Here is a 27,894-nt window from a genome sequence, read left to right on the forward strand (position 1 = left end):
ATAGGAGAATACCTGGGGTCAGGGGGCTGGGGGAACGGCGTGCTGTGCAAGACATCAGTAGGCTCTGTGCATGCACAGAGACCTTGGGGGACGTTTCCCTAAATCTCAGGCACACTCTTACACCCTCTAACCCCCCGCCACCCCCCGCCAGAAAAAATCTCACCCTGGGCGAGACAAGCCCAGGGTGAAATGAACCAACAGGGACCTCTCTGCGCCCTTCACCCGGTTCCTCTGGGAGGAAGGGGAACGCCAATGCCCGGGAGCGGCCTTTGGGAGGAAGGGGAAGGCTAATGCCCTCTCAAATGCTCTTCCCTGCTTCCCGCATCTACTCAGGTGTGTGAGGGAGCCCGCGGAACCCGCTCTGCCCAGCCGGCGCGCCCTCGACCGCCCTCGGAGTTCCGCGGCTCCGCGCGCCGCCTCCCCGCCTCCGCCGACATTCCGAGGCTCCGCGTTTGCCATTTCGATCTGGAGGCGCATTCTCCTCACCCTCGGAGAGAGACTGGGTCAAGGGCCCAGGCTGGGAAGAAGGGACAGCTAGTAAAGGAACTCTGCCCGCCTGGCCGGCGGAGAGCCGCAGAGAGAGGACGCTCACAAAAGTCGGTCGCTACCCGGCCCAAACGATTGTGGAGCCGGCGAGAGCAACTGGTCCCCCAGTCCTCCTCCCTGGAGGAGGTGCGGGGGCGCGGCAGGCGGGCTTGGCCCACCCCAGCCGAGGAGCTTGTGGGGGACGGCGGGCGGCCGGCTGGACCCCTGCAGGGCTTCCCCCACTTTCGGGAGCCCGAGCGGCCGAGGGAGAAAGGGCAGGGGCTCTCCGCCGTCCGTCTGGGAGAGCAGCTCCTCCCAGTCGGGCCCGCAGGTGTGGGTGGGGAGGGGCCGTGTCCGCCTCCGTGCTAGGTAGAGGGTGGGAGGAGGGACCTTGTCTGTCCCCCTCAGCTGGGTAGGAAACCCCGACTCGGACCTGTCCTTGAGCGCGGGGGATCTGGGCACCCCCTCCCCCAGCAGGTTCCCGAGAGTCCGCCCGAGGGTAGACAGACCTAGGCGTGGTGTGCACGCGCGCGTGTGTCTGTGGGTGTGCGTGCGAGCGAGGCAAGAGGGTCTTGGCGTCCCCCGCACCCTCTCTGCCGGGTTCTATATTTTGCCTTTCTTTGTTCTCAAAATAGTAGGCGAGCGCGGCCGGCGCTGCCCTGGCGAGGGGTGGGGGCTCCGCGCTCGCTCGCGCGAGCCGAGTTAGCTGCAGGGTTACAAACAGTATCTCCCTGCTCCCCCGGCCTGAATTAATGTGTTACTATTTCGGGCGAGCCAGTGTTTCCAGGGGAAACCTAATGACGCAATGACGTCAATGCAGGTCAGCAGCAGACTCTCCGGGAGGGCGGGCGGGCTCCCGGCTTTCGGGCTCGGCGCAGTCTGCGGGCGGGAGGGCGCCGGCGAGGTGGCGAGGGCGGCTGGCGCGGGGGCGCGGGAGCCCCGGCTAAGCCCGGGGACGGGAGGGCGCCCCCTCCCAGCGCCCGAACCCAGGCAACTTCCCGCCGCCCGGGCAGGAGTTTCTCCGTAGCCCACGGACATCCGGGAGGCTTGTGGAGGGCAGGCGGGTAACCCCCACTCCCACCCCACCTTTATCCAGGGGCAGCCAGAGGAGCCAGCAGGTCGGGACTCGCTGAGGGGGCTCCACGCGGGGCCTCCCACGCACAGGTACGCGCTGGTCCTCGGGGTGTCCCCAGTTTGGGAGGGAGACACGCACAGTCGCTCCCGTCCACACTCCTCTCGTGTCCTGGCTCCATGACTGGGAGTCTGGGGAAAGAAGAATGGGTGTCTGAGACCTACCCCTCCGCCGGTGTCGCCCCGCTCTTTCTGGGCGTAGGAGCGGGCTGCCTGCCCCTCTCCCGCACCTTCCTGGTCTCGGGCTAGAACTGGGGCTTCCCATCGGCCGCGCTTCCCTTAGGGGCGCCATCTGAGGTCGGAAGCAAAGCTGGAGGGGCGTCCAGGCCAGAGGACGCGGGCTGGGGCGGGAGCCTCGGCAGCCTGGTGGGAGCTGGTGCCCACTGCAGGGTGCGTGTACGGGGCTGCCTGCGTGTGCTTGGTGTGTGTCACTTCTGGGAGCGTACCCCGTGTGTCCACGGGGTGTGTATGCGCCCACGGAAGTCCTCTGTGCATGCGTGTCTGTGCCATAGGCGTGGGAACACCTCGTGCACCCATGGTACTTGCCCGGAGAGTAGGAAGCCAGCGAGGGAGCGGCCCTGCTCCAGGGTCTCTTCCCTGCTCATCCCTCCAGCTGGCCCAGATTACACCCTACTCACACCCGGGTCGCGGCCCACTTTCCCCATAGCCGCAGCTTCCGGCGGCTGCACACTTCTTAGTGCTCATCCTGCCTTCTCGCCCCAACTCGTTGTGCCCTTCCCTCCTTGGAGAGTGAGTAGAAGAGGGGATGGGGAGGAATCCGTTTCCATCCCCCGCGACCCCCTCACCTAGGGCGGAGGCGCAAGCTCTGCTGGGTGCTCTCCGCCCCCTTGATCGCCGCTCTCGGTTTTCAGCACCAGGATCCGGACAGCTCCCCACCTGGCCCTGAGGGGCCTCTTTCCTTGCCCTGGCCTGGAACGCCCCCGCCCTGGCCTTTATAGCTTCCAGCTAGCTCCAGTACCCTATCCTAGACCCTCTTCCCTGCCCCCAACACAAACACACATCCGGCCTTCCCATCCCGGACTTCTGTCGGGTGGCCAGGAGCACCCAGGGCCAGAACCTGCCTGGGAAATCTCTGAAACTGACTGGCAGGCGTCACCACATCACAGCCTGTCTTTCTCCAAAGGGCAGTGACTGAAGAGAGACTGCTACAGCCCTGCTACAGGCTCCCTTTCCCACCTCAGTTCATTAAAATAAGTGAATAAAGCCAGATTCCTTCCCCAAAGGCTAGCCAGACTTCAGAAGGCACTCTTAGATCTAGGATTTTCTGGATTCTTGAAACGCAACTGGTGGACCCTAGACCCCCTTCCAGACATTCTCACAGCCCCTCCTTCCTCTCTTTTTCTAAATCCAGGCCTCCTCCGGTGGAAGGGGATGGAATGAACCCCAACCATCTCTCCATTTCCAGCAGCAGAGAGGGTTCAGATGATGTCATGGCTTTGGGGGCGCTGGATGGGAGATGTATGTGCAGATTCTCACCACAGATGTGCCCTGGGCTCCCCAAGACACCTCTAGAGGTGACTTTTGTGGGACCACGGCTCTGTGCAGACTGCTTTCACTGGGATGTGGCCACCCAGAGACCTCTGAGGATGCTCGCATCCCAAGTGGAATCCAGGATACAGCAACTCTACCTGTGGCTCTCCCCACTCCTTTAGCTGACAAATGCTCGTATGTTGTGTGGAATATCGTCCTAGACACCTCTCCTTAGTGAGAGAGAAAGGTGTCTCCTTAGTGTCATCCCAAACCCTCCAGGAAGAGCAGAAAGGGCCTGTGTGATGCCCTAGCTGATTCAGGGATAGGTGAAGAAAGTCAAGGAGAAGTCCCCTCTCTCCATCCTGCCTATCCTACTTCTGAGAACTTTGGTAAGCTGGAGATGGGGAGCCCTTCTCCTACCAGGGAATTGGGCAATTTTTCCTCTCTCCACATTCTTCTCTCTCAGGCAGCAGAGACTAGGCCAACCTTGTCGGATCTGGCCCAGGACAGATCCATGTGTTGTCTTTGTTCCACTGAGGCAAAGGGCAGGAGAGGAGATCTGGGCTTGGAGAGGAGGGTGCCTCTTTGCAGAAGCTCTGGGACCTGGGGTGAGGCAGTCACACTCTCCGCACAAAATGGCCTTTTCTCTGAAGCAGACATTGTTCTGCCTACTGCTGAGCTACCAGAGAGAGGAGAGAAAAATCCCCCCAGGCTGGGGACAAGGGAAGGAGAGGCAGCCACCCCAGTCCAGTGGCACTTCCTTCTGACAGGGTAGAAGTCTAAGCCCAGCTCCTGTGACATTCTCAGAGTGTCCACGGGTCTCGAGGGAAGCTGAAAATGGCTGTTCTCTCAAATGAATTACTTTTCAGACAAAAAGAACAGCGTATGACTCAGTTAAGGAGGTGGCAGTGTGGACAAAACACACAGAGAGCAAGAGGATGAGCCTTCCACTAAAGGTCAGTGGTCTCCCCAGGGTCTTTCAGCCCAAATTCAGTCCCCTGGGAGTGCAAAGCTGCCACCATCTGCCTAGCCCCATGCCTGACCACTTTCCAAGCTTCTCTGGCTCCATGACCTTCCTCTGTGCTCAGCTGGGTAACATCTGGCTGCAGCCTCATGGGAAGGCTGGCCAAGATCGGGCAGGTACAGAGAAGTTTGCTTGTGGATATGAGCATGGCTTCTCTGGTTTTGCACAGCAGAGACCTTGGAGAGGAAAGCCAGGGAAGGTGCAGGACCCCACCCTGCAGGAAGCCAGCACAGTGACATGGTACTGGTCATTGGGGAGAGAGCCTGAGCCTCTGCAGTTGTCCTTGTCTGACTGCAGACATCATGGGCCAGAGGAGCTTCTGGTCTTTTAAGTGCCCTGGGTCAGGTGCTTAGCAGGGAGCTGGACTGATGCAGCACCATGCCCAAAACAGGGGGTCAGATTCTCCCTTCAGCCCCATGCTGTTTTCTTAAGCAAGTCCTTATGATGAGCCTCAGTTTCTCCATCTGCATAATGGGGGTTAACTGAAGCAGAGAAGGCACCCACAGGCTTGTCCTGAGTGTGTCTGAACAACATTTTATTTGCATCTGAAGTCAGAGCTTGTCAGGAGAGCTGGCTCCTTTGTTCACTAAAATGTCTGGGTTCCTGAGAGGCTCAGGGTGCCTTCGGGTATGGGAAAGGCTGATTCAGGTTCAGTGGTAACTTTATCATCTCCTGGCCAAGTTCTCTTCCTGCCAGGGTCTCGGCCTCTCCCTGTAGATGGAAGCCCACGTCCCACTGTTCAGAAACTGGGGACCCACTGTGCCCACGGGAAGCATGTATGGAGAACAGCTCCAGGCTGGCCAAAACCACCCCTCCCTGATTCCAAATCAGGACTCCAGCTGGCAGCCCCTATGCCCCAAAACAAAGACAGGAGGATCTATGGAAAAATGGAAAGAGTTCTAAAGTTTACTCTTGGGGACAAGAAGCTCAGGGTCTTCCATCCTACAGGAAATCATGTGGAGTCCTCGTGATTACCTCACTGTGTGGCAGCTGGACCCCTGGGCACAGTGGGGGCTGAGCCAAGGTCTGAGAGAGCTGGGATAGGTAACTAACTGTGTGCTCGTCCCCAAGTGGAGCTTCCCAGGATACCCAGATCTCATGCCCAAGGCCGCTGTTTGGATTGTGCAGCCATCACAGGAATACTCACAGTGTGAGTGCCCTCGAGCCATTTTATTGAGGGTGAAGTCCGTGAGACTGGGAGGGCATCCCCTCAGCGTAGAAGAGCACCCCGTGGGCAGTGGCTCTGCTTCCCCAGAGGCTGCAGGGTGCAGGGTCGGTGCTGACAGTGGGGAGGGGGCAGGATTGACCTAGCCCTATCTCTCCTGGCTGTGTGACCTTGGACTCAACATTTCTTCTCACAGTACGAACACAAATGAAGCACCAGCCATGGCCCTTCATGGGGCTGTAGTTACAGTTGATGAGATACAGTGAAGACAAGTGTGTCACGGGAGTGGGCAGGTACTGTTGACCCCGAGAAGACCCCAAATGCTGTTCCCTCCTGGCAAGCTCTCCTGCTGCCAGGGTCTCAGCCTCTCTCTGTGAATGAAAGCCCAAGCACCGCCATTCAAGAATACAAGGAGGTCCCCACTCCAGGAGGGGGGGATTTAGGGTGTAAGTTAGCATCAGAGTCCACAGCTTTGTTAAGTGACCTGTTCTGGCCACCTCCTATCTGCCCTGTTGGTAAACAAGGGATTCCCTGCCCTAAATAGTATGAGATGGCTGAACATACAACATTGGACAATGGCAGATGAGATTGGCAGCAGTTTATTCGCCACCTGCCTTCACAGCCTGGGGGAGGAGGACACAGCACGCCATGCAGGGCATACGAGGGTTGCAGCCGGGAGTGGCACCAGGAGCTGAGCCAACAGCAGGGGCTGTGGGAGGCAGCTTTATAGTGACAAAGGGTGTGGTATCCCTGGTTCCTGCAGGAGGCTGTGATTGGCTTGTTTGAATAAATACGTGGGCTGGCTGGGTACTGAAACCCATTAGGCTGAAGACCAGGTGCAATGCGGCTGTTCTGACCAATAGGAAACTAGCCAGGTGGGGAGCTTTTCTCCCTGGGTGGGAAAGAGCATGTCTGGAGAGAGCTGGGGAATTCGTGGTTAGGCCTTTGGGACTCAAAGATGTCAAGACAGCCCTTGCATTGTGGGCCTTATAATAAAGTGCTTCAGGCCCTGTGCCCAATCTCACTAACCTTTGCAACATCCCTGTGAGTTACATTTCACAGATGAGGAAACTGAGGCAGGGTATGAACCAAGACCACCCAGGTCAGGTTTTGTACCCAGGTCTCCTGACTCCACAGTACATGCTGTCTGTGTCTGTCAGGGAAGACACCTGTAAGCTGTAATCACTTCCCAAAGCTGGCGCAGCAAGTGGCACTGTCTCCGGATGCCCTGGAAGTTCTCTGCCCTTTTCAGAAGAGGATTCTCTGCAGCTTTGTTTCTAGTTGGGATGTAATTGAACAGAACCTCAGACCCTCTTTGGTGCCTATTGATTGCAGATTGTGGAGCTGGTAAATGGATTTGCATATTAAGTCAATGATATTTCTATTCTGAAGGTCAAGGCTTCCGAGTGTGGAGTTGAGCTGACCAGATTGGTGGGGAGACCTGGGTTCCAGCCTAGCCCAGCCCCTCCCTCACTTTGTGGCTTTGGGCAACCTTTCCTCCTCTGGGTTCAGACTTCTCAGCAGTAACCAGAGGGGACTAGATGGGCCTGAAGACGCTTTCAGTTTTGTTTTGAGATGGGATCTTGCTCTGTTGCTTAGCCCAGAATGCAGTGGTGCAAACATAGGTCACTGCAGCCTCGAACTCCTGGCTTCAAGCAATCGTCCCACCTCAGCCTCCTAAAGTGTTACGATTACAGGTGTGAGCCATCCTGCCCAGGTGGCCTTTCAGTTTCATTGGGCGATGAATCCTCAAAGTCTTTACGTGTGGAATAAAAGGTCCTATGCATGCAGGCAGAGGATTAGAAGGCAAGTGGTGGGAGGACATTTTTGCTCCTGTGGAGTCGGGAAGAGTCATGTTGACTTCGTCTTTTGGGGTTAATAGATGGTAAGATGGTAGGAGTGTAAGTCTGAATCTTTCCCCAGCCCCCAACCCAGCCCAGCCTCGCCTGCCTTAAGAAATTGACCGTACTTTGCTGGCTAAGGCCTATTTCCAGAAAGTGCTCTGAGGACAGAAAAGTCTGTGAAATTTTGCCACCTGGTTTTTAGAGCCCTGGAGCCCTGAAGTTGTCAGCCCAAACCCAGCTCAGCCAGGCAGACCCTCACCTCCAGACCCATCTCTTGGGGCATGGGCATTTGCTACACCTTTTAATGTCTTCCTTCCCCTCCTGTAGGGTTGCTGGATTTAGCAAATAAATGCCCAGTGAAATTTTAATTTCAGATAAATACAATTATTATTTTTTTAGACACAGGGTCTTGTTCTTTTGCACAGGCTGGAGTGCAGTGGTGCAATCACAGCTCATTGCAGCTGCAAACTCCTGGGCTCAAGTGATCCTCCTGCCTCAGCCTCCTGAGTAGCTGGGACTACAAGTGCCTCACCCTGCTCGGCTAATTGCAAAAAAAAAAATTGTAGAGACAGTGTCTTGTCATGTTGCCCAGGCTGGTCTCCCAAAGTGCTAGGATTACAGGTGTGAGCCACTGCACCCAGTGTCAAACAAGTTTTAATATAAATATGTCTCAAGATTCCCTGTTCCTAGGACCCAGAACCTGTCCTTATCCGGAATCTGTCTCCTCTGTCCTCAGCCTCTTGCACTTTGAAGGCCCAGGGTTTCTTCCGCCTCCAGGGACAGGAGTGTGTCAGCTTGGCCCAGGGACTTGGTATATGTCTGTATGATGCTGATAAAACAAAAAATAATAACAGCAGCTGAGAAAGCTGAGTTCCAAGCTCATATCACCAGGGGTGGGCTGGATTTGAACCTGAGTTTTTGTGTCGTTTTGTGCTCTTCTTTCAGCGCCAGGGTAGATTTACAGAGTCAGCTCACAAGAGAGGAATCTGGTGCAAACCTGCAGGCTTATTGCCGTGGGTCAGGTGGCAGCGCCGCGGTGTGTGCTGAGAGCAGCGGGTGGGCCCTGTCCCTGTGCAGGGCCAACCAGCCCACCATGACGTATTCAGGCTGCAGGCCAGATTGCTTTGCAGGGGTTGTGTTTGATTCCACCTCTCAGTCTGCCGACAAATGCAAGTCCTCGTGACTTCCCCTTTGGTGGCCTGGGCTGTTACTGAACCATCTGCTCCCTAGCTGGGCTTGCAGCTGGGAGTTCATGCATGATAGGAACTTTTCCTGCCAGCGTTTGGCGTTTGAAGCCAACCTGATGGGTTGGGATGCAGTGATGTCCTCCATATTTCGGGGAGGTGAAGACAGGCTCCTATGTGGGTACTCGTCCAAATTCCATTTGGGGCTTCATGACTTCCAGACATCTCCACTAAAATTGGGGTAAGGAAGTGGGAGCGTGAATTTTAAATCTCATTTTGGAGATGAGGCTAAATTAACTTCTCTGAGATGACACAGTGCGTAGCTAGAGAGCCTCAGGCCTGACTTCACACTTACTCTTCCTTCTGGAGTCATGATCTCTCATATCTGTGGCCATTCCTTGGAGGTAGAGCCTGCAAATAAAGGCTGTCACCCTGGCTGCATATGAGAATCACTTAGGGAGGTTTACAAATGCTCAGGTTCAACCTCCAGAGATTCTGATTTAGTTCATCTGGGTGCTGCCAGGCACCAGTGGGTAGTGAAAGCTCCCAGATGATTCTAAGGAGCACACAGGGCTAAGGGTCATCACTGAGGAAGTGAGAGATGGCGTCGGCCAGGGGCTCCCAGACCTTACTGCACATTGGAATCATGGGGGATCTTTAAAAATACTGACAGCTTGCTCCCTCCCCCGGACATTCTGATTTGATTAGTGTAAAAATCAGGCTTTTGGCCAGACGTGGTGGCTTGAGCCTATAATCCCAGCACTTTGGAAGGCTGAGGGGGGAGGATCACTTGAGGCCAGGAGTTCGACACCAGCCAGGGCAACATCCCCTGCACCCCCATCTCTATTTTAAAAAATTAAAAATTAGCCAGACATGGTGGCATGCACCTGTATTCTTAGCTACTGGGGAGACTAAGGAAGGAGGATCCCTTGAACCCAAGAGTTCTAGGATGCAGTGAGCTATGATGGCACCACTGCACTCCAGCCTGGGTGATAGAGTGAGACTGTCTCTAAAAAAAGAAAAATTTAACGTTGGGCACAGTGGCTCACGCCTGTAATCCCAGGACTGTGGGAGGCCGCGGTGGGCAGATCACTTGAGATCAAGAGGTTGAGACCAGCCTGGCCAACATAGTGAAACCCCATCTCTACTAAAAATACAAAAATTAGCTGAACATGGTGGCAGGTACTTGTAATCCCAGCTACTTGGGAGGCTGAAGCAAGAGAATCGCTTGAATCCAGGAGGCAGAGGTTGCAGTGAGCCAAGATCATACCACTGCACTCCAGCCTGGGTGACAGAGTGCAACTCCATCTCAAAGAAAAAAAAAATTTTAAGATTTTAAAGAAGTTCTTCAGACGATTCTAATATTCAGCAAAGTTTGAAAACCATTGGCACAGGATAGGGGCCTTGCTCCTCTGAGTGTGGTCAGCAGACCAGCAGCAACCAGGTCACCCAAGAGCTTATTAGAAATGCAGAATCTCAGGCTGCACCCTGGACCCATTGAATCAGAATCTGCATTTTCTTTCTTTCTCTTTCTTTTTTTTTTTCCTTCTTTTTCTTTTTTCGAGATGGAGTTTCGCTCTTGTCACCCAGGCTGAAGTGCAGTGGCACAATCTCAGCTCACTACAACCTCCGCCTCCCAGGTTCAAGAGATTCTCCTGCCTCAGCCTCCCGAGTAGCTGGGATTACAGACATGCACCACCATGCCCAGCTAATTTTTATATTTTTAGTAGAGACGGGGTTTCACCATGTTGGCCAGGCTGGTCTAGAATCTGCATTTTAACAAGATTCCCAGGTGATTTGTATACCTGTTAAAATGTGGCCTAGGGAATGATATGATGATGAGGCAAATAAGGGTGTAATGTTCAAGCCAATCCCTCTGCTCATTCATTTATGCAGTCATTTTACTGACAATCACTGACTACACTGTGTATCACTGTGCTAGCACACGCCGGGTGCTGCGTATTCAAAAAGGAACAAAGCCAGGGGTGAGGCAGGCACACAGCTCTTGGTTATAACACAAGGGTAATACCAGCACCTATGGAAGCTTGCAGAGCACACTGTGCGAGAGAGCACAGGAATGTGCCCTTCACTGCCTAGGAAGCAAAGGAATCGTCTCGCAGGGCCTGGGATGTTCAGAGGTAACAGATGCTCAGGACAGCTGCAGGAGAGGTGAGCAGTACAGGATGATGAAGGGCGCCCGTGTCCTTCAGAGGAGCCTTGGCATTCGCTGTGGACAATGAGGTGCCTCTGGAGACTTTAGATAAGAAGGAGAAGAATGTTATGAGTCAGACTGGCCTTTGTGGTAGAGAACTCTAGAAGAGAAAGTGGAAGAACTGGAATAGAGAAAACCTGGTGGTCATCGACAACAGTAGTTGGGACTCAGAAAGAATCCAGAGGCTGGCTGGGTGTGTGGTGGCTCACACCTGTAATCTCAGTGCTTTGGGAGGCCTAGCAGGGAGGATTGCTTGAGGCCAAGAGTTCAAGACCAGCCTGAGAAACATAGTGCGACTCCATCTCTACAAAAAAAAAGAAAAAATAAACGAAACAAAAAAAGAATCCAGAGGCCTCTTGATGAGGAGGATGGCAGAGGGGGTGGAGAGGAGGGCCAGGTTCAGGAGATGGTTCTGAGAGAGGATCTAGGTCCACAGGATTTAGGCAGATTGCATACAGGGTGAGAAGGAGTGAGGATGAGCATGACTCCCAGATGTGTAGTTCAGGCAACTTCGTGGAGGTGGCACCATTCAGTGAGATAAAGAACTCTGGAGCGCCGGGCACAGTGGCTCATGCATGTAATCCCAGCACTTTGGGAGGCCAAGGCGAGTGGATCACGAGGTTAGGAGTTCAAGACCAGCCTGGCCAACATGGTGAAACCCCATCTCTACTAAAAATACAAAAATTAGCTGGGCGTGGTGGCGCTTGCCTGTAATCCCAGCAACTCAGGAGGCTGAGGCAGGAGAATTGCTTGAACCCAGGAGGCGGAGGTTGCAGTGAGCCAAGATTGCGCCACTGCACTCCAGCCTGGGCGACAGAGTGAAACTCCATCTCAAACAAACAAACAAACAAACAAACAAACAAAAAACAGAACTCTGGAGGCAGAGCGAGCCTGGACAGGTGGAGCAGGAAATTGTGAATTCAGGACTGGAGCTGAGAAGCCGAGGCTGGAAGTAGATCAGGGTGTCAGCAGCATCCAGGGGGCTGCTGAAGCCATAGGAGTGAGTGGAGTAACTTAGGGTGGGAAAGGGAGAGGAGAACAGACACTGGGACCACATTATTCAAAGGTGGATTGGAGGAAGAAGAAAAGGAGAAGTGGGGAGGGAGGTTGGAGAGTGGGAAGGAGCCAGCGAAGACAAAACTTGAAAGAACGGATCAGAAGAGGAAACAGAACTCCTGGAAACAAAAACACATTCAGGAGGAAGAGCATGACTGTGGAGTAAAGTGCTGCAGAGAATGTAAGCAGGAGATGGGGACTAGCAATGGGGTTTGATAATGAGGCCATTAGCCAGTTTCTGAGCTAAGAGGAAAAAGTTAAGTGGTTAAAGATGCAGAGGGAGAGAAGGTAACTACAGAGCTGCATCTCCAGGCGCTGGGAGTAGATGGGATTCAGAGCACATAGAGGAATGAATCTTGGAAAGCAGAGGGAGATGGACGTTGTTCCCATCAGTGTTCTCTGACAAGGCACAAAGGCGTCTGCTGACAGCTGGGAGGAAATGCTGGGCTGGGCGGCCTGAGTCGGTGGCTGGGCCTCTGCGGAGTGGGACAGAGGTGGGAGATGGGGCCCCTGTCTGCAGTGGCCCCAGCAGCCTGCATTGCATTGTATTTTTTCCAGCTACAGAGGCTCAGGAGGTGAGCAGAATGAAGGTGGGTGGTTTCCCTCAAGTTTGGGGATTAGGCAAACTAAAGGGCAAGAAAGGAAGGACAAGGGTGCTGTGAGAGCACCACTGGCGCCACCATATTCAGGGTCAAATTTCCCTGCCCTTTGTCTCAGGAAGGTCAAATGCAGGGGCAGTCACCCCCACTCAATGAACCTTCTTCCTGGGGGATGTTGGCTAATGGGCTGCTGGTCCCTCAGCTGGGCTAGTTCTGTTTGGAAGGAGGAAGCCCCACAGATGTCCCCAGAGGCAGCTTCTGCTCTGTGTCCCCAGAGGCAGCTTCTGCTCTGTGTCCCCAGAGGCAGCTTCTTCTCTGTGTCCCCAGAGGCAGCCTCCAGCCCAGACGGCTGTAGAGAATGGAGACCAGCAGGCTCACCTGCCCCAGGGTTGACTCTCCAGCTCCTGAAGGAATCCGGGGATCCCGGGGTTGGAAGAGACCTTAGTGAACAACTAGTCCAGTGGTTCTCAGGCAGTGGTGACCCCTATAGGCATTTTGGACATATGTGGGGATATGTCTAAAATGGCACAACAATTAGAAGAATGCTCCCCATATTTAGTAGGTATAGGCCAGGTATGCCTGGCCTTGTGCAATGCACAATTCAATCCTGCACAGCAAATTCTGTCCCTTACTCCCATGGCTTTATTTACTTCTTTATTTATTTATTGAGAGACAGGGTCTGGCTCTGTTACTCAGGCTGGAGTGCAGTGGCACCATCATAGCTCACTATAACCTCAAACTCACAGGCTCAAGCCATCTTCCTGTCTCGACCTCCTGGGTAGCTGGAACTACAGACAGATGCCACCATACCCAACTAATTTTTTCTTTTTTTTGTAGAGATGAGGTCTTGCTATGCTGCCCAGGCTGGTCTCAAACTCCCGGCCTCAAGCAGTCTCCCCACCTCTGCCTCCCAAAGCACTGGGATTACAGGCATGAGCTATTGTGCCTATCCTCCCATGGCTTCTGAATGCCTTGCCAAGCAGTAAAAACGTGTCCAGACTCTCTGTGAACTATGGTTAACAGAAACAGTTTAATTGTCTAGGAATGTTTCTGTATATAAATCAAGGAGTACTGAGCATGGTGTATGCCTGTAATCCCAGCTACTTGCAAGGCTGAGGTGAGAGGATCGCTTGAGCCCAGGAATTTGAATCCTGCCTGGGGAACATAGCAAGACCCCGTCTCTAACAACAAAAAAAACGTAGCCATAATGTTAGTTCCAGAAAAGTCGAGAGATTGTATGTCAAAACTTTACTAAGAGTTGTGTGTCATTTTGGAAAATCACATCTCTGAAGGCAAAGCTCCCAACAGTAATTGAGTGATTAAAACAACACCACTGTATCAGTCTACATTTGCATCACATGCATTCATGATGATTCTACATATAGACGCAAGCACGTCATTATTTCATTCTATTATGCATAATCATGCCTGAAGGTTTACATGTTGAAAAGCATATTCTTATAAATTATGTCATTTTAGTTTTATATATCAGTTAGGGAATTCTATTGATTTTTAAAAATATGTCAGTTTTTAAAAAGTAGGGTTTTACTCTGTTACTTTATTTCAGGATAATAAGAGGATATTATCAAATATTTGCTATAAAAGAGGGTGTTTTTATTCTGGCGGTTATAAAAGGATCTCGTTACAATCTCTCACTCGGTGAGTTGAATTCTCTCTATAGCAGCTCTAACAACTGGCTGCCCAGCTCTGCTTGAATATCTTCAGGGCAGGGAACTCATCCCCTCTCCAGGTCATCTGTCCCATCATCAGGGAGCTGGCTGTTAGAAAGGGATCGCACACAAGGAGCTGAACCTGTCATTGAGCATCTCCCACCTCTGACTGGTCCTGGTCATGCCTTTCAAGGCTACACAGAACAAGTCAGCTCTTCTACATGAGATATCCTTAATACTTGTAGATGACTGCATTAGTCCATTTTTGCATAACTGTAAAGAGATACCTGAGACTGGGTAATTTATAAAGAAAAGAGGTTTAATCGGTTCATGGTTCTGCAGGCTGTAAGAGAAACATGGCAGCATCTGCTCAGCTTCTGGGGATGCCTCAGGAAACTTACATGGAGGAAAGTGAAGGGGGAAGCAGGCACATCTTATGTGGCTGGAGCATGAGGAAGAGAGAGAGGGGAGGTGCCACACACTTGTAAACAACCAGATTTCCTGAGAACTCTATCATGAGAATAGCACCAAAGGATGGTGCTAAACCATTCATGAAGGATGCACCCCCACAATCCAATCACCTCCCACCAGGCCCTACCTCCAACATGGGGTATTACAATTGAATGTGACATTTGGGTGAGGACACAGATCCAAACCATAACAGTGACTCTTTACCCCATGCCCCCCCACTACTCTCTTCTCTTCTCCAGACAGAATTCACCATTCTGTATGTGACATTCTTGTGCCTCCTTGTTATCCTGGCCAATCCAGGCACTGTACTAAGCATGAGGGATTCAGAGAGACCAGTAGGTTCAATTCCGTTCAATGTTTATTTTACAGATTGTTGACTGACCTATGCCATTCACTGTGCTCAGCTCTATGGACACAAAGATGATTTAGAAGCAGCTGTTGTCCCTGGGAGCTCAGCCAGCAGTGAAACAGTCCCACAAAATGGAGAATTAAACACATATTCATCTCCCTTTTCTCCCAAGACATCCTCTAGACTTATAGGAAGGAGATTTAAAAGAAAACATTAACACACAGTGAGGAAGAGAGGCCATCGGCAGATGAAGATTCTACCAAGTTCTAGAAGAGCAGGTGGAGCAGAGGTGTGGGATAGCAGTGTAACAGAGAGGAGAAAACATTAGCTTAGAGCACTCAAAGAAGGGGGTTTGGGAAAGAAGGAACTTATTTGCCCCTGGAGAATCCCTAAGAGGGGGTCCCCAAGGGCCAGGTGTGGCAGAAGGCAAGAAAGCAAGCTGGTACCAGAATAAGGGGATTATTTGAAAGGCCACTTACAAAGCAGTCAGCCCCTACACCAAATGCAGTATTTACAGGCAGAGCCCTATCCTTAGGCCAGAACATTGGAAGTCTCGTCTCAGGATGACTGAGTTGTCCCAGAGGACAGGCATGTGAGGATGCCACTGAGCCAGCTCCCACTGAAATCCCAAAAGCCACCCTCAGCTCCTAAGAAAACCCCACTCCAGAACACACAGCTCCCACATGATCAGTGTCTTATTCTTAAATATATAAATATATAGCCAAAGCTAATCCACCCCCAAGGAAAGTCCAGTGTGATTGAGACCGAGGAAAACAAAGAGAAAACCCCTGAGGGAATGGAAACAACATAAGAAACAGAAAAGAACTGAAAACAAAACAAAACAAACCTCACTTTAATGTTCACAATACTAAAAAGGAAACCTCAGAGGACAAGAAAGTGCTCTTGGAAATTAAAATATTTTAAAAATGACTGCTGCCCAAATAAAATATTCAGTAGAATTAGCGATAAAGTTAAGGAAATCCCCCAGAAAGTGGAAGATAAAATTTTAGCAGAATTGGAAAATGCAGTTGAAGAAATCTCCCAGAAAGCAGAGTAACAAGACAAAAGGAAAAGATCATCAAAATGAAAAGAGAATCAATTTGATAGGTTTATGTTGGACTATAGGAGTTCCAGAAAGAACAGAAAATTGAAGGGAGGAAGTTATCAAATACATAATACTGGAAAATTCTCAACCCTGAAGTTTAGAGGCCTTTAAAGAGTCCACTGAGTCCACCCAGCAAAAAGAATGAAAATAGATCCACAGCAATGCATGTCAACCTAAAATCTCAGAGTATCAGAGACAAAGAGAATAACCAAAAAACTTCCACAGAGAAAATACAAAATCCCAATAAATGTTACAATGGCACAAGAATTCTTTGTTTTGTTTTGTTTTTAAGATCGGGTCTCACTCTGTCGCCCAGGCTGGAGTGCAGTGGCGAGATCACAGCTTGCTGCAGCCTCGAACTCCTGGGCTCAAGCAATCCTTCCACCTCAGCCTCCCGAGTAGCTGAGACTACAGGCATGCACGACCATCCCCTGCCAAAGAATTCTTAATGACAACACTAGGCCCTAGAATGCAGGGCAACCTGGCCTTCAAAACCCAGAGAGAAAATAATTTCAATCCAGAATTCAGCACTCGGACAAAGTATCATCAAGCATGAGGGTAGAATAAAGATACTTTTCAGATATGTCAGGACTCAGCACCCTATTTATGGAAGTTATTAATCATGTGTTCCAGCAAAATAAAAAAGTAAGCCAAGAAAGCCAGACTGAAAAATTCAGAGACAATGGCCCCATTCTGGAGTGCAGTTGGGAGAAGTCCCAGGCTGATAGCTGTGCAGGGAGCATAGGGAGCTGAGGACAGAGGGCTCATGGCAGGGAGTGCCCTGAAAAGATGGAGACTTTTGATAAAGTCCCTAGGTGCCAGAGCTTCTCAACAAAGCATAGAGGAATGTTTAAAGGAGCTTATGAAAAAAAGTAAAATAAAGACAATTAGAAATCCCTGGAAAACCAAAAAATCAAAATCTACACACACAAATAAAATGTAACCTTGTACCTTAATTGATTCTGCAGCAACAAGGTTAACATAGTCACAATAATGGAAACATTATTTAACCAAAGATAGTGATAGAATAGGACAGGCAGCATGATACAACCAAGCCCTCCTCTCTTATGTAAGATGTAAAAATGACATATACATTTGATCAATCAGGAAATAACTGTATAAATATATTATTTAGAGATATGAAAATAAATACCAAAGAAACAGCTGAAGAGTTAAAAGTGGTTGCCTCCAGGCAATGGACCTGGGATGGGAGAGATGGACCTGGGTTGGATTTTATCCATTATCAGTCTTTCGATAGTTTGACTTTTTTTAACCATGTGCACATATTGGTTTGATAAACATATAAAAACCTCAAATCAAAATGTGCTCAGTGGTCAGGCATGGTGGCTCATACTTGTAATCCTAGCACTTTGGGAGACCAAGGCAGAAGGATTGCTTGAGCTCAGGAGTTATTGACCAGCCTGGGCAACGTAGTGAGACCTCAGCTCTACATAAAATTAAAAAGCGGTCCGGGCGCAGTGGCTCACGCCTGTAATCCCAGCTCTTTGGGAGGCCGAGGTGGGTGGATCACCTGAGGTCAGGAGTTTGAGATCAGCCTGACCAACATGGTGAAACCCTGTCTCTACTACAAATACAAAAATTAGCTGGGTATGGTGGCAGACGCCTGTAATCACAGCTACTCAGGAGGCTGAGGCAGGAGAATCGCTTGAACCTGGGAGGCAGAGGTTGCAGTGAGCCAAGATTGCGCCATTGCATTCCATCCTGGGTGACAGACTGAGACTCCATCTCAAAATAAAATAAAATAAAAGCAAATGTGGTAAATGACAAGCAGCATGCATTGAGGGAAGATGCAGGCAGCCTGGACCGAGAGGCTGGCCGGTGGTGAAGATGACCAGTGTGGTATTACTAGCAGGCTTTAGTATCCCTGGAGCATGATGTCCAAGATGGGCTGCCCGGAAAACGAGGAAGGCTGGTGGGACCAGGTCACAGGAGCAATGTAGACTCTGGCAGAGACTTGGACTCCATCCCTGTGGCAATGAGGAGCCGCTTAGGGGTTATCAGAAGGAAAGTGATATGATTGAATTTGGGTTTTAGAAATACACCTTGATAGCAATCATTCTGGAAGCTGATTCTAAATGGGTCAGCAATGGAAAAGGAAAATCCATTTAGGAGGCCATTGCAGCAACCAGGTAGGGGAGGATATGGTGGTCTGAACCAAGACAGTGGGTGGAGGGTTGGGGGAAGCAAATTAAGGCAAATATTTAGAGGGTAAATGTACAGCAAGACTTGATTGATTGAACACAAAGGATGAGGAGGCTTTACCTGGAGGAATGGGCAGATGACCAGGCAACTCACTAAATAAGGTAGAGGTTTGGTGGTTGAGATGTTGATTCAGTGTTGAACATGTTGAGCTTGAGGTGCTTTCAGGAAACACCATGAAGATGTCTAGGAGCCTGCTGAAGATACAAATTAGATGCCCTGGGGAAAGGTCAGTCTTGGAAGTGTAGACTTAGGGGCCATCAGTCTTTGCTGGGCAATGGGGCAGTGGCCCAAAGAGCAGCTACTGAGAAAAATGGTGGACCAGGGACAAAAACCCGGATTTTAGCATTTAAAGGGCAGGCTAATAATGCCCTAGATAAGGTTGAATATCTTTTCATCTATTCCTGAGTCATTTTTGTTTCCCTTTCTGTGAAATACCTATTTTGGGTTTCAATCATTTTTCTATTTCTATTAAATTTAAAGCTAGATCCATTGTCTAGCTGAATGATAAAACTATAGAAAAATATGATGAAACTCCCACCAGAGTAAGGAGCACTTACATGAAGTATTAAATAAAGCAGTTAAATAGGAAAAAGGAAATGAAGCACCAAATTAGAAAACAGGAAGTAATTTTGTATCAGTAATATGAAATGAGTGATTTCATAACTTGAAATCCCAAGATAGTCAATGGGAAAAAATATAAATAGTAAGAATTCTATACAATTTCTGATATGAAATTAATATGGCAAATTAATAGCACTCCCACATAAAACAATAGGAAGTTTAAAAATACAATGGAAGGTGAAAACCAATTGTAATAACAATGAACGTGCAAGGTTCATGTGAAGAATTTTAAAACATTATTGAGGAACATAATAGAAGAACTTGTGAAATGGAAATAAGAAACTCCATTCTTGAATTGGAAAATGTTGATCCGAAGTATTATAAAGTTGTTAATTCTTCTAAATTATGCTTTACACTTAAATACCTAGATAACTCTTTTCTTGCAACCAGACAAGCTTATTCTTAAGTTTATACAGAAAAATAAATATGCACAAATATCCAGGAAGTTTTCTTTAAAAAAAAAAAACCCATGAGATGAGATCAGTTTCATCATATATGAAAACATAATTAAAATAGAGAAGTACGTAGGAATATTTGGTCAGATCAACAGAACAGAATGAAGAGCTCAGAAATAGACCCAAATTTATGTGGGAATTTAGTGTGTCGTAAAATGGCATCTCATATCAGAGGGGAAAAGACAGGTGGTGCAATATATAGGGCTGGGACAGCGGAAGATACATTAGGAGAAAAGATGATTCCCACATTACTCTTTACATCAAAATAATGGAGAAAATATTCAAGTTAAAGCTGAAGTCATAAAAGCACTAGAAGAAAACACGGAGCATAGACACACACCAACACCCCTGTACACACACACACACACACACACACACAAAGTCTTGGAGTAAAGAAAGACTCATGAAGCCATAACACACACAAAAATTAAATCAGCCGGGCATGGTGGCTCATGCCTGTAATCCTAGCACTCTGGGAGGCTGAGGCAGATAGACTACTTGAGGCTGGTAGACTGCTTGAGGCCAGGAGTTCAAGACCATCCTGGGCCACATGGTGAAACCTCGTCTCTACTAAAAATACCCAAAAAGTTAGCTGGGTGTGGTGGCATGTGCCTGTAATCCCAGCTACTCGGGAGGCTGAGGCAGGGGAATTGCTTGAACCCAGGAGGCCAAGGTTGCAGTGATCTGAGATTGAGCCACTGCATTCTAGCCTGGGTGACACAGCGAGACCCTGTCTCAAAAAAAAAATTAAATCAACTATATAAAAATGACTTACTTCTGCACTGGAAAAAAGCCACATATATAAGATCTTACATTATGATAAATTGAGAAGAGATATTTAGAAGCATACGTGGCAGACAAATGACTACTTTTTTCTATATAAATAATTTTGTATAGATACAGGGTACCTTTGAAAGGACACATACATGTATCCCCCCCTTAGGTATCTCTCCCTCCCTCCTTCCCTTTCCTCCCTTCCTTCCTTCCTCCCTCCCTTCCGGCCTTCCTTCCTCCTTTCCTCCCTTCCTCCTTTCCTCCCTTCCTCCCTTCCTCCCTTCTTCTCTTCCTTCCCTCAAATGAGGAGAAAACAGCATTCATGTTATCCCAGCACCTTTTCTTGAACAGCACCTTCTTTCCCTCACCAACTTGAAATGCCAATTGGATTTTATATTCTGCTCCTTTGATCTGTCTGTTTCCTCTGACACCAGAATTTTACTGCTGCAATTACTACAGATTTAAAATATACCTTTTTCATACTTGGTATGACAAGTGTGCCCTGTTCTAATTCAGTCTTTTTCCCCGACATTTTCTTATTAATTTCCTCATACTTATTCATCCAGATTAATGTGAGATTCATTTTATCAAATTCTACTCAAAACTCAATTGAGATTTTGATTGCAATTATGGGAAATGCATTAGGTGAATTTGGGCAAGACTGACATTTTTACAATATCAAGTCTCCTCATCTTGAAACAAAGTATGGCCTCCTCTTAATTCAAATTATTCAGTAAAGCATAAGGGCTTTTCTGTACGGGGTCTTGCACTCTTCTTGTTAAAATTCTTCCCTAATATTTTATATTTTAGTTGCTACTATGAATGAAATTCTCTTTCCCATTCTATTTTCAGGTTGGTTGTTGCCACTGTGTTCAAAAGCTAAGAAAATTATCTACATTTATTTTATAACTGCCTTATTGAACTCTCTTATTAATTATAAATTTCACTTGATCTTCAGATTTTCTGTGGAGTAAATCGGGTTTTTGACTCCCTCTTTATAATAATTAAATCACATTTTTTTTAAAAAAAGAAAAAGTCTCTTTTTTTTTGTTCTTTTTTAAGACAAAGTCTCAATCTGTCTCCCAGGCCGGAGTGTAGTGGCCCGATCTTGGCTCACTGCAACCATCGCCTCCTGGGTTCAAGCGATTCTCCTGCCTCAGCCTCCCGAGTAGCTGGAATTACAGGTGTGTGCCAGCACACTTGGCTAATTTTTGTATTTTTAGTAGAGACGGGGTTTCACCATGTTGGCCAGGCTGGTCTCGAACTCCCGAACTCAAGTGATCCTCATGCCTTGGCTTCCCAAAGTGCTGGGATACAGGAAGGGCCACCACACCCGGCCTTATTTTTCTTTTGACTAGAACTCACTTTCAAACAACATTTCATGACAGCGTTCATCAAGGAAATTCTTATGCATTCACAGGTCAGAGTTTTATCTTTAAGTATAATGTTAGCTCTTGGTTTAGATTTGTTCTTTATCCTGCTTTGGGATTATCTCTTTATTGCTAGTTTAGTAAGAATATTTTTTTTAAAAAAGTGTATTGGATTTTATCAAATGTCCTTTGGGCTTCTATCAAATGATGGTATGATTTTCTCCTTTCATCTATTCATGAGATAAATTGCATTAAGAGATTTCCCAAGGCTGGGCACAGTGGCTTACGCCTGTAATCTTAACACTTTGGGAGGCCAAGGCGGGCCGATCACCTGAGGTCGGGAGTTTGAGACCAGCCTGACCAACATGGAGAAACCCCGTCTCTAATAAAAATACCCAAAAAGTTAGCTGGGTGTGGTGGCACATGCCTGTAATCCCAGCTACTCGGGAGGCTGAGGTAGGAGAATCGCTTGAACCCGGGAGGCGGAGATTGTGGTGAGCCGAGATCGCACCATTGTACTCCACCCTGAGCAATAAGAGTGAAACTCCGTCTCAAAAATAAAAAAAAAAAAAAAGAGAGAGAGAGATTTCCCGATGTTGACAATTTTCAAATTCCTGGAAAAAAACTTTACTTTGTCATTATGTTATTATTTTTATTATTCTTCTGCTGAATTCTATTTGTAATATTTTATTTTTGTTCTCACTAATGTTGGTATCTGAGAATATAGATTGCTCTTCCAAAAAGCTTAGCTGAGATGGGGAGAAAAGAGAGGGCCAGAACTCTAGCGAGACCCAGGGTGGAGGAAGTGGACATTGCGAGCATATTAATAGGCTTTGGGGATGTAGCCAAGAAGAGGAAGAACTTGGGGATATGAGAGAAGGAGGAGAGCAACGAGGCACCAGGGGAGAGAGACGGCAGCAGGGCCAGCACACCAGTGTCCTGGGGCCACCAGCAGGAAGAGAACAGAACCATCACCTGGACTGTTCTGGAATGAAGGAGGGCAAGGCGGGTGGCATAGATTAAATCTGCAGAGGGTACAACGACGTCAGAGCAGGGCACAGCTGGAAGCTTTGGTGGGCGTCAGGGCTGTGGGAGCAAGATTGTCTGCAGGGTTGGTAGGTGAGGACTTGAGGCAGATTATGAACATTGAAAACAGTTGCCAAGAGAAGTGGGGACAACCCAGAGGATTGCCAGGGGGTGCAGAGGCCCCAATGAGGTTAAAAACCATGGCTTTAGGTGGCATCAGTTTGCAAGGTTTTTCATTATTCCTCTTAGAGACACTGTGGGAGTGGGGCTGATCCAGACTGGGTGTTGATGGATGAGTGTGGAAGGCAGACAGCGAGGCCAGGGAGTTGCGCAGGTCCCATGTCAGCCAGGGAACGGCAAGGAGCAGAAGAGGACACACACAGCACGCAGGCCTCTCTGCAAGACGCTATCATAGTTTGTCTTTGCTTTATATTTCCACCTTGAGGCAAAATTTTCCATTTCTGCCCTGTCACAAAACAAACAGGATGCACCATGGCTTAAGCTAGATCACTTATGTAACGGATTCCATGCTCTGCCACGTTCTTGACAGTTACAAAACGTCTGTGCTGCTGGGACATCATGTTGGGACAACAGGACGTGTGTGCTAATGTGGAGGGCATTCTGGGACAGGGGGTGCCTGAGCCCCTGCTTCCACTTCGGGCAGTTAGGGCATCGACAGGAGAGTGGCTCAGGTGATCAGGCAAGCAGGCTGGCCCAGCCAGGGAATGTCCCCACTAGCCTGATAGGCTGGGAGCAAGGGGACTGGTGGGGACGGGGCTGCAGGGAATTGGCTTGGGTGTGGGTGCCTTAGGGAGCTGGAGGCACAGGGCCCAGGAGGCTGGCCCCAGGAACAGGCCTTTATATGGACACTGAGGTCACCCTAAATGATGCCAGGGCATGAAGTGGATGGGGTGTGACCCGAGTGACCTGCTCAAGAGCCCCCTGCTAGTAAATGGTAGGGTGGCACACACCCAGGTCTGGGGCTCCTTAGAGGACAGCAGGTGGCCTTCCTGGTGAGGGTGTGACCTATGGGCACCTGCTGTCCTGCAGGACCTAGAACCTGAGCCCTTGCTCTTCCACTTCAGGCAGTTAGGGCATCGATGAGAGAGTGGCTCAGGTGGCCTGCAGTGCAGCTCGGCCCAGACGATGCCATCATTCCTCCTTGCCTGTGCCTGGCCTCTGGGTGGCTGGGGAAGGTGTCCAACCCTGAAGGTGCCCAGGAAGCTGGGGAACACAGCGCAGCCTTCCAGGACCAAGGGACCTGCCCCCATTTCACAGTGACCGAGCCCTCACCTCCCCTTCTTGGCATGTTCTTCTGGGGCTGGCCACCTCCAGATGCCAGAAGGGTACAGTGGCTGTGAGATTTGGCTTCCAAAACACTGGGTTCAAACCCTGACTGCACCATTGCCAGCTGTGTGACCTTGGGCAAGTGGCCATCTCTGAGTTTCAGTTTTCTCATCTGCAAAAAGGGGACAAGACTTAGATTTCCCCTGCCAGTCACTTTCCTAATTAAAGCAGAGTCTGTGTTCACTGTTGGGTTCTCTGAGAGGGTGAGTGGCACATGGGGGTTTATCTGGGCATGCCCTCAGGATCCACACCTGCGGAGGGGAAGCAGGATTGGGCAGGAGGAGAGGCTAGGCTGCAGCACAGGCCCTGTGAAGACCTCCCCTGACTTCAGGGAAGCTCTGAAGTGGAGACAGCCCTGCAGAGCTCTCCAGAGTCAGCTGCTGAAGTGGTTTGCCGCGGGAAGGAGGTTTGACTTTGGATAACGTGACTTTCTTTAGTCAAGGACAGTTCCTGAGGAGGGATGAGGACTGTCAGGGTGGCAGCACTCCCAGCAGCTGGGGACTAAGTCCTTCTGTTGTAAAAGGGGATCTGGCCTGTGCATCACAACACGCCCTAATGCATCCATCAAACTACACTATTATTAGCATGGCTGCACACAGACAAGCAGGAACTTGGCTGGGATGAGCTGGCCAATGCATCGGTCATCGGAGCCTGTCCTGGGCTCAGCTCCTGCATGGACTGGCTGATTTGGAGGGGCCATGAACCCCCTAATACCATGTGAAAAAAACCTGAATATCTTTTCTGAGGTGAGAGTCCAATTTTTATCAGCTTCTAAAAGCACTCTGTGACCTTAATGTTTAGGAATCATTACTCTAGGGTCACATTTCAAGTAGAGAAGGAGGTTTCCTTTACCTTCCGCTCTGCATCCTGCCTCTCCCAGCTAACCATGTCAGGGAAGCCCCCTCCAGACCTCTAGAATCCTCTAGAATCCCTTCCCCCTCCGGCCCCTCCTCCAATCCTGTAACCACCACACCAGACCTAACCTAAGAGTTGTGTGTTTGCATCTGGATCTCAGTCCTGCCCTGCCATTCACAATCCACATGGCTTTGGCAAGTTTCTGAACTTCCATGAGCCTTAGTCTCATCTGTGAAATGCAAATGGTTATACCGATGTGATAGCTACATCCTGAAGATGGATTCTATGAGATGGTTGAGGGAAGTGCCCTGCACATCATGTAGACCAGAGCAGGTAATTCACAAACAAAAATCATTTTCTTTTGGGGGTTCAATCATCCTTTTCCCTTTCCTGTTTGCCTCTCCTAGCACACCTGAGCATAATTAGATAGCGCCTCAAAACCAGGATGGCTCAAGTCCAGCTGTTCCCAGCACAGGCCCTCACAGCTGGGTCTCTTCTATCTCCCCATTTGCAGTCCCCACATAGAAGCTGGAGCCCTCAGCAGGTGGCCTTGTTCCTAGGATCCTGAGAAAACATTTGATTCATAGGAACCACAAGTTACATCGGATGAATCCTTAAGCATTCCCAAAGGACATTCATTCCCACCTGGCTCTCATCGCATCCCTGTGTGGTGGGCAGGGCAGGGATTACGTCTCCGTTTCCCAGAGGTGGGATGGCATTCCTCCAGGCATATCCAGCTTCCCAAACTCATGTGGTTCCAGTGGTGATGTGGTTTGGCTTTGTGTAAATTTCATCCTGAATTGTAATCCCCAGGTGTTGAGGGAGGAATCTGGTGGGAGGTGATTGGAACATGGGTGCGATTTACCCCATGCTGTTCTAGTGATAGTGAGTGAGTTCTCACAAGATCTGATGGTTTCATAAGGGGCACTTCCCCCTTCACTCCCCACTTTTCTCTCTCCTGCCGCCATGTGAAAAGGTCCTTGCTTCCCCTTCACCTTCCCCTGTGATTATAAGTTTCCTGAGGCCTCCCCAGCCATGTGGAGCTATGAGTCAATTAAAGCTCTTTCCTTTCTAAATTACCCAGTCTCGGGTATTTCTTTAGAGCAGTGTGAGAACAGAATAATACAAGTGGCCAAACTAAATTCTCATTTGGATGTCGTAGTGTAGTGGTTAAGAATGAGACATGTCAGCCAGACTTACTGTCTGGGTTCAGATCCCAGCTCTGCTACTTACTAGTTGTAGAACCCTGGATGTTTCATGTTACCTATCTGTACCTCAGTTTCTTCTTCTGTAAAAATGGGGAAAATAATGGCTTCTTTGTCATGGGCTGTCCCAGGAACAGATGTGCCTGCTATTGTGTAAATGTGAGCTCTTGTGTGAATGGCGTATTATTCGCCACTGCACCTTCTCGGGATTGGAGCCCACCAGCCCTTTCTCGCCACATTGAAGCATCATTCACTGTATTCTGTTTTTTCTCAAAATGTGTCAGTATTTTCAATGGGCTTCCAAGTGCTTCATTTAAGCCCTGGGCCCCATACCCGCTTGACTCCTTAAACGTCTTGCATTTTCTTCTGTTTTTAATCATTTTCCCCAGCATTGCTTCCTTCCCCACAGCAACAGCTCTCCTCAACCATCACCCTTCCCAGCAGCTGCGCGCAGCAGCTTCCCAGCTTCCATTCCCCTGACCCGGAAGCTTCTAAATAAAACAAAACCCCTTGGGCTCCTTGACTTTCCCCTTTCCCCTTACTCAAGCCCTTACTGTGGGCTCTGCGGGGGTTTATTTCCCTGAAGCTGCTCTCTTGAGGTCCCCATGGCTGCTCACGTCCTTCCTCAGAGCCCTCTCTCCTCGGCTGGCACCGTCCCTCCTCCCCACCATCCCCCTCTTCTTCCCCTTGTCCTCCTCCTCCTCCCCTACCAGGCGTCCATTACACTCTCCTAATCTGACCCCGGATTACCAGCCTGCTCCCCATCTCTAGCTCCTCCTCATCCCTGGGCCCCGTCCCAGTCCCCAGCGGGCTGTCCTGGGACCCCCTCTCCTCCCCCCTCCACCCTTGGTGGTCCCTCTGCTCTGCTCTCAGCTCCTCAAATCCTCCTGCCCTAACTCAGAGGCTCTGGGAGCTCCAGCTTCGGGCTCTGGCTCTGGGCGGGACTCTTCCCCTGCCGCCTTATTGGGCCCTCAAATTCAAGGAATCCAAGCACCAGATTAACATTTCCTCCTTGCCCCAAAATTAGCTCCTCCTTCTGGTTTCTTTTTGTGACGGTGGCTCTGTCCTCCCAGGCACCGCAAGGGACATCTGGGCCGCGAGGCCTCCTGCCCGCCCACACGCCCCCACCCCAGACGAGCCCTGCCCCCTCCTGCACTTTGCGTTTCTGTTCTTCCTGTTACACATCATTACCTAAAAATAATTATAAAGTTAATTTTTGTTCTCATGGCGAATTCTCATGCTCATGATAGACAATTTGGAAAATAGAGATAAAGACAAAGAAAACAATAGAAAGTACCCACGATTTCACCAACCAGAGAGACAGAATCACTGTTAATATTTAGGAAGATGGCCTTTCCTCTTTTAAAAAATTTATGCTGAATATAAAAAAATTTTTTAATTCTTTCAAATTAAAACCATCTATGCAAAGTGTTTTGTATCCTGATTTTGAAACCTATGTATCACGAACATTTCCACCTAGTTAGATATTTTACTACACCTATACATTTTATTCTAAAAATGTAAGCAATTTGCGCATTGGATAAAAACTTTAAAACATGTCATAGGTAGAAAATGAACTTGTAAGGGAAGATTTGTGCTACCAGAAATCAAAAACTATCTTAATGCTACAGTTAAGACTGTGTCTTAGTATAGGAATAGACAAATAGATAAAGAGAAGTGCATATGTGGAAATCTAATTCAAGACAAGAAAGAGCACTGCAGATTTGTTGGGATAGATTGGGCTATTCAATAAATAGTGTGGGGACAATTGGTTTTCAATATAGAAAATAAAATAAAACTGTGCCCATACATCACATTCTTCACAAAACTCAATTCCATGTATACTCAGTACTCTAACTTAAAAGGCAAAATTGTATAACTTTTAGAAGATAACAGATTATCTTTATGATCTCAGGCAAGGAAGGGTTTCTAAACAAGACACAAAAACATAAGCAATAGAGGATAGAACTGGTAGATCAGACTACATTAAAATTAAGAACTTCTGTTCATCAAATGAATCATAAGTAGAGTGAAAAAAGTCAAAGTCACAAATTGGAAGAAAATATCAGCCACGTATGAAGCCAGCAAAGGCCAAATGCAGCTAATAATATATAAAGACCTTCTATAAATCAATAAGAAAAAGATAACAAAAAGAGCAATAAACAAAAGACACAACATTTTGCTCATTGTTC

General features: G+C 48.9%; 3 annotated features.

Annotated features, from left to right (window-relative positions):
• Positions 1,019-1,855: an enhancer, noted in NCBI's record as "H3K27ac-H3K4me1 hESC enhancer chr7:127807348-127808184 (GRCh37/hg19 assembly coordinates)". NCBI's record gives its function as "activates a minimal SCP1, AML or CMV promoter by ChIP-STARR-seq in naive H9 embryonic stem cells {active_cell/tissue: H9 hESC(naive)}" and the evidence as "EXISTENCE:reporter gene assay evidence [ECO:0000049][PMID:30033119]".
• Positions 1,856-2,692: an enhancer, noted in NCBI's record as "H3K27ac-H3K4me1 hESC enhancer chr7:127808185-127809021 (GRCh37/hg19 assembly coordinates)". NCBI's record gives its function as "activates a minimal SCP1, AML or CMV promoter by ChIP-STARR-seq in naive H9 embryonic stem cells {active_cell/tissue: H9 hESC(naive)}" and the evidence as "EXISTENCE:reporter gene assay evidence [ECO:0000049][PMID:30033119]".
• Positions 23,286-23,785: an enhancer, noted in NCBI's record as "H3K4me1 hESC enhancer chr7:127829615-127830114 (GRCh37/hg19 assembly coordinates)". NCBI's record gives its function as "activates a minimal SCP1, AML or CMV promoter by ChIP-STARR-seq in primed H9 embryonic stem cells {active_cell/tissue: H9 hESC(primed)}" and the evidence as "EXISTENCE:reporter gene assay evidence [ECO:0000049][PMID:30033119]".

This window comes from Homo sapiens, chromosome 7 (assembly GCF_000001405.40).
Source record: "Homo sapiens chromosome 7, GRCh38.p14 Primary Assembly".
NCBI lineage: Eukaryota > Metazoa > Chordata > Mammalia > Primates > Hominidae > Homo > Homo sapiens.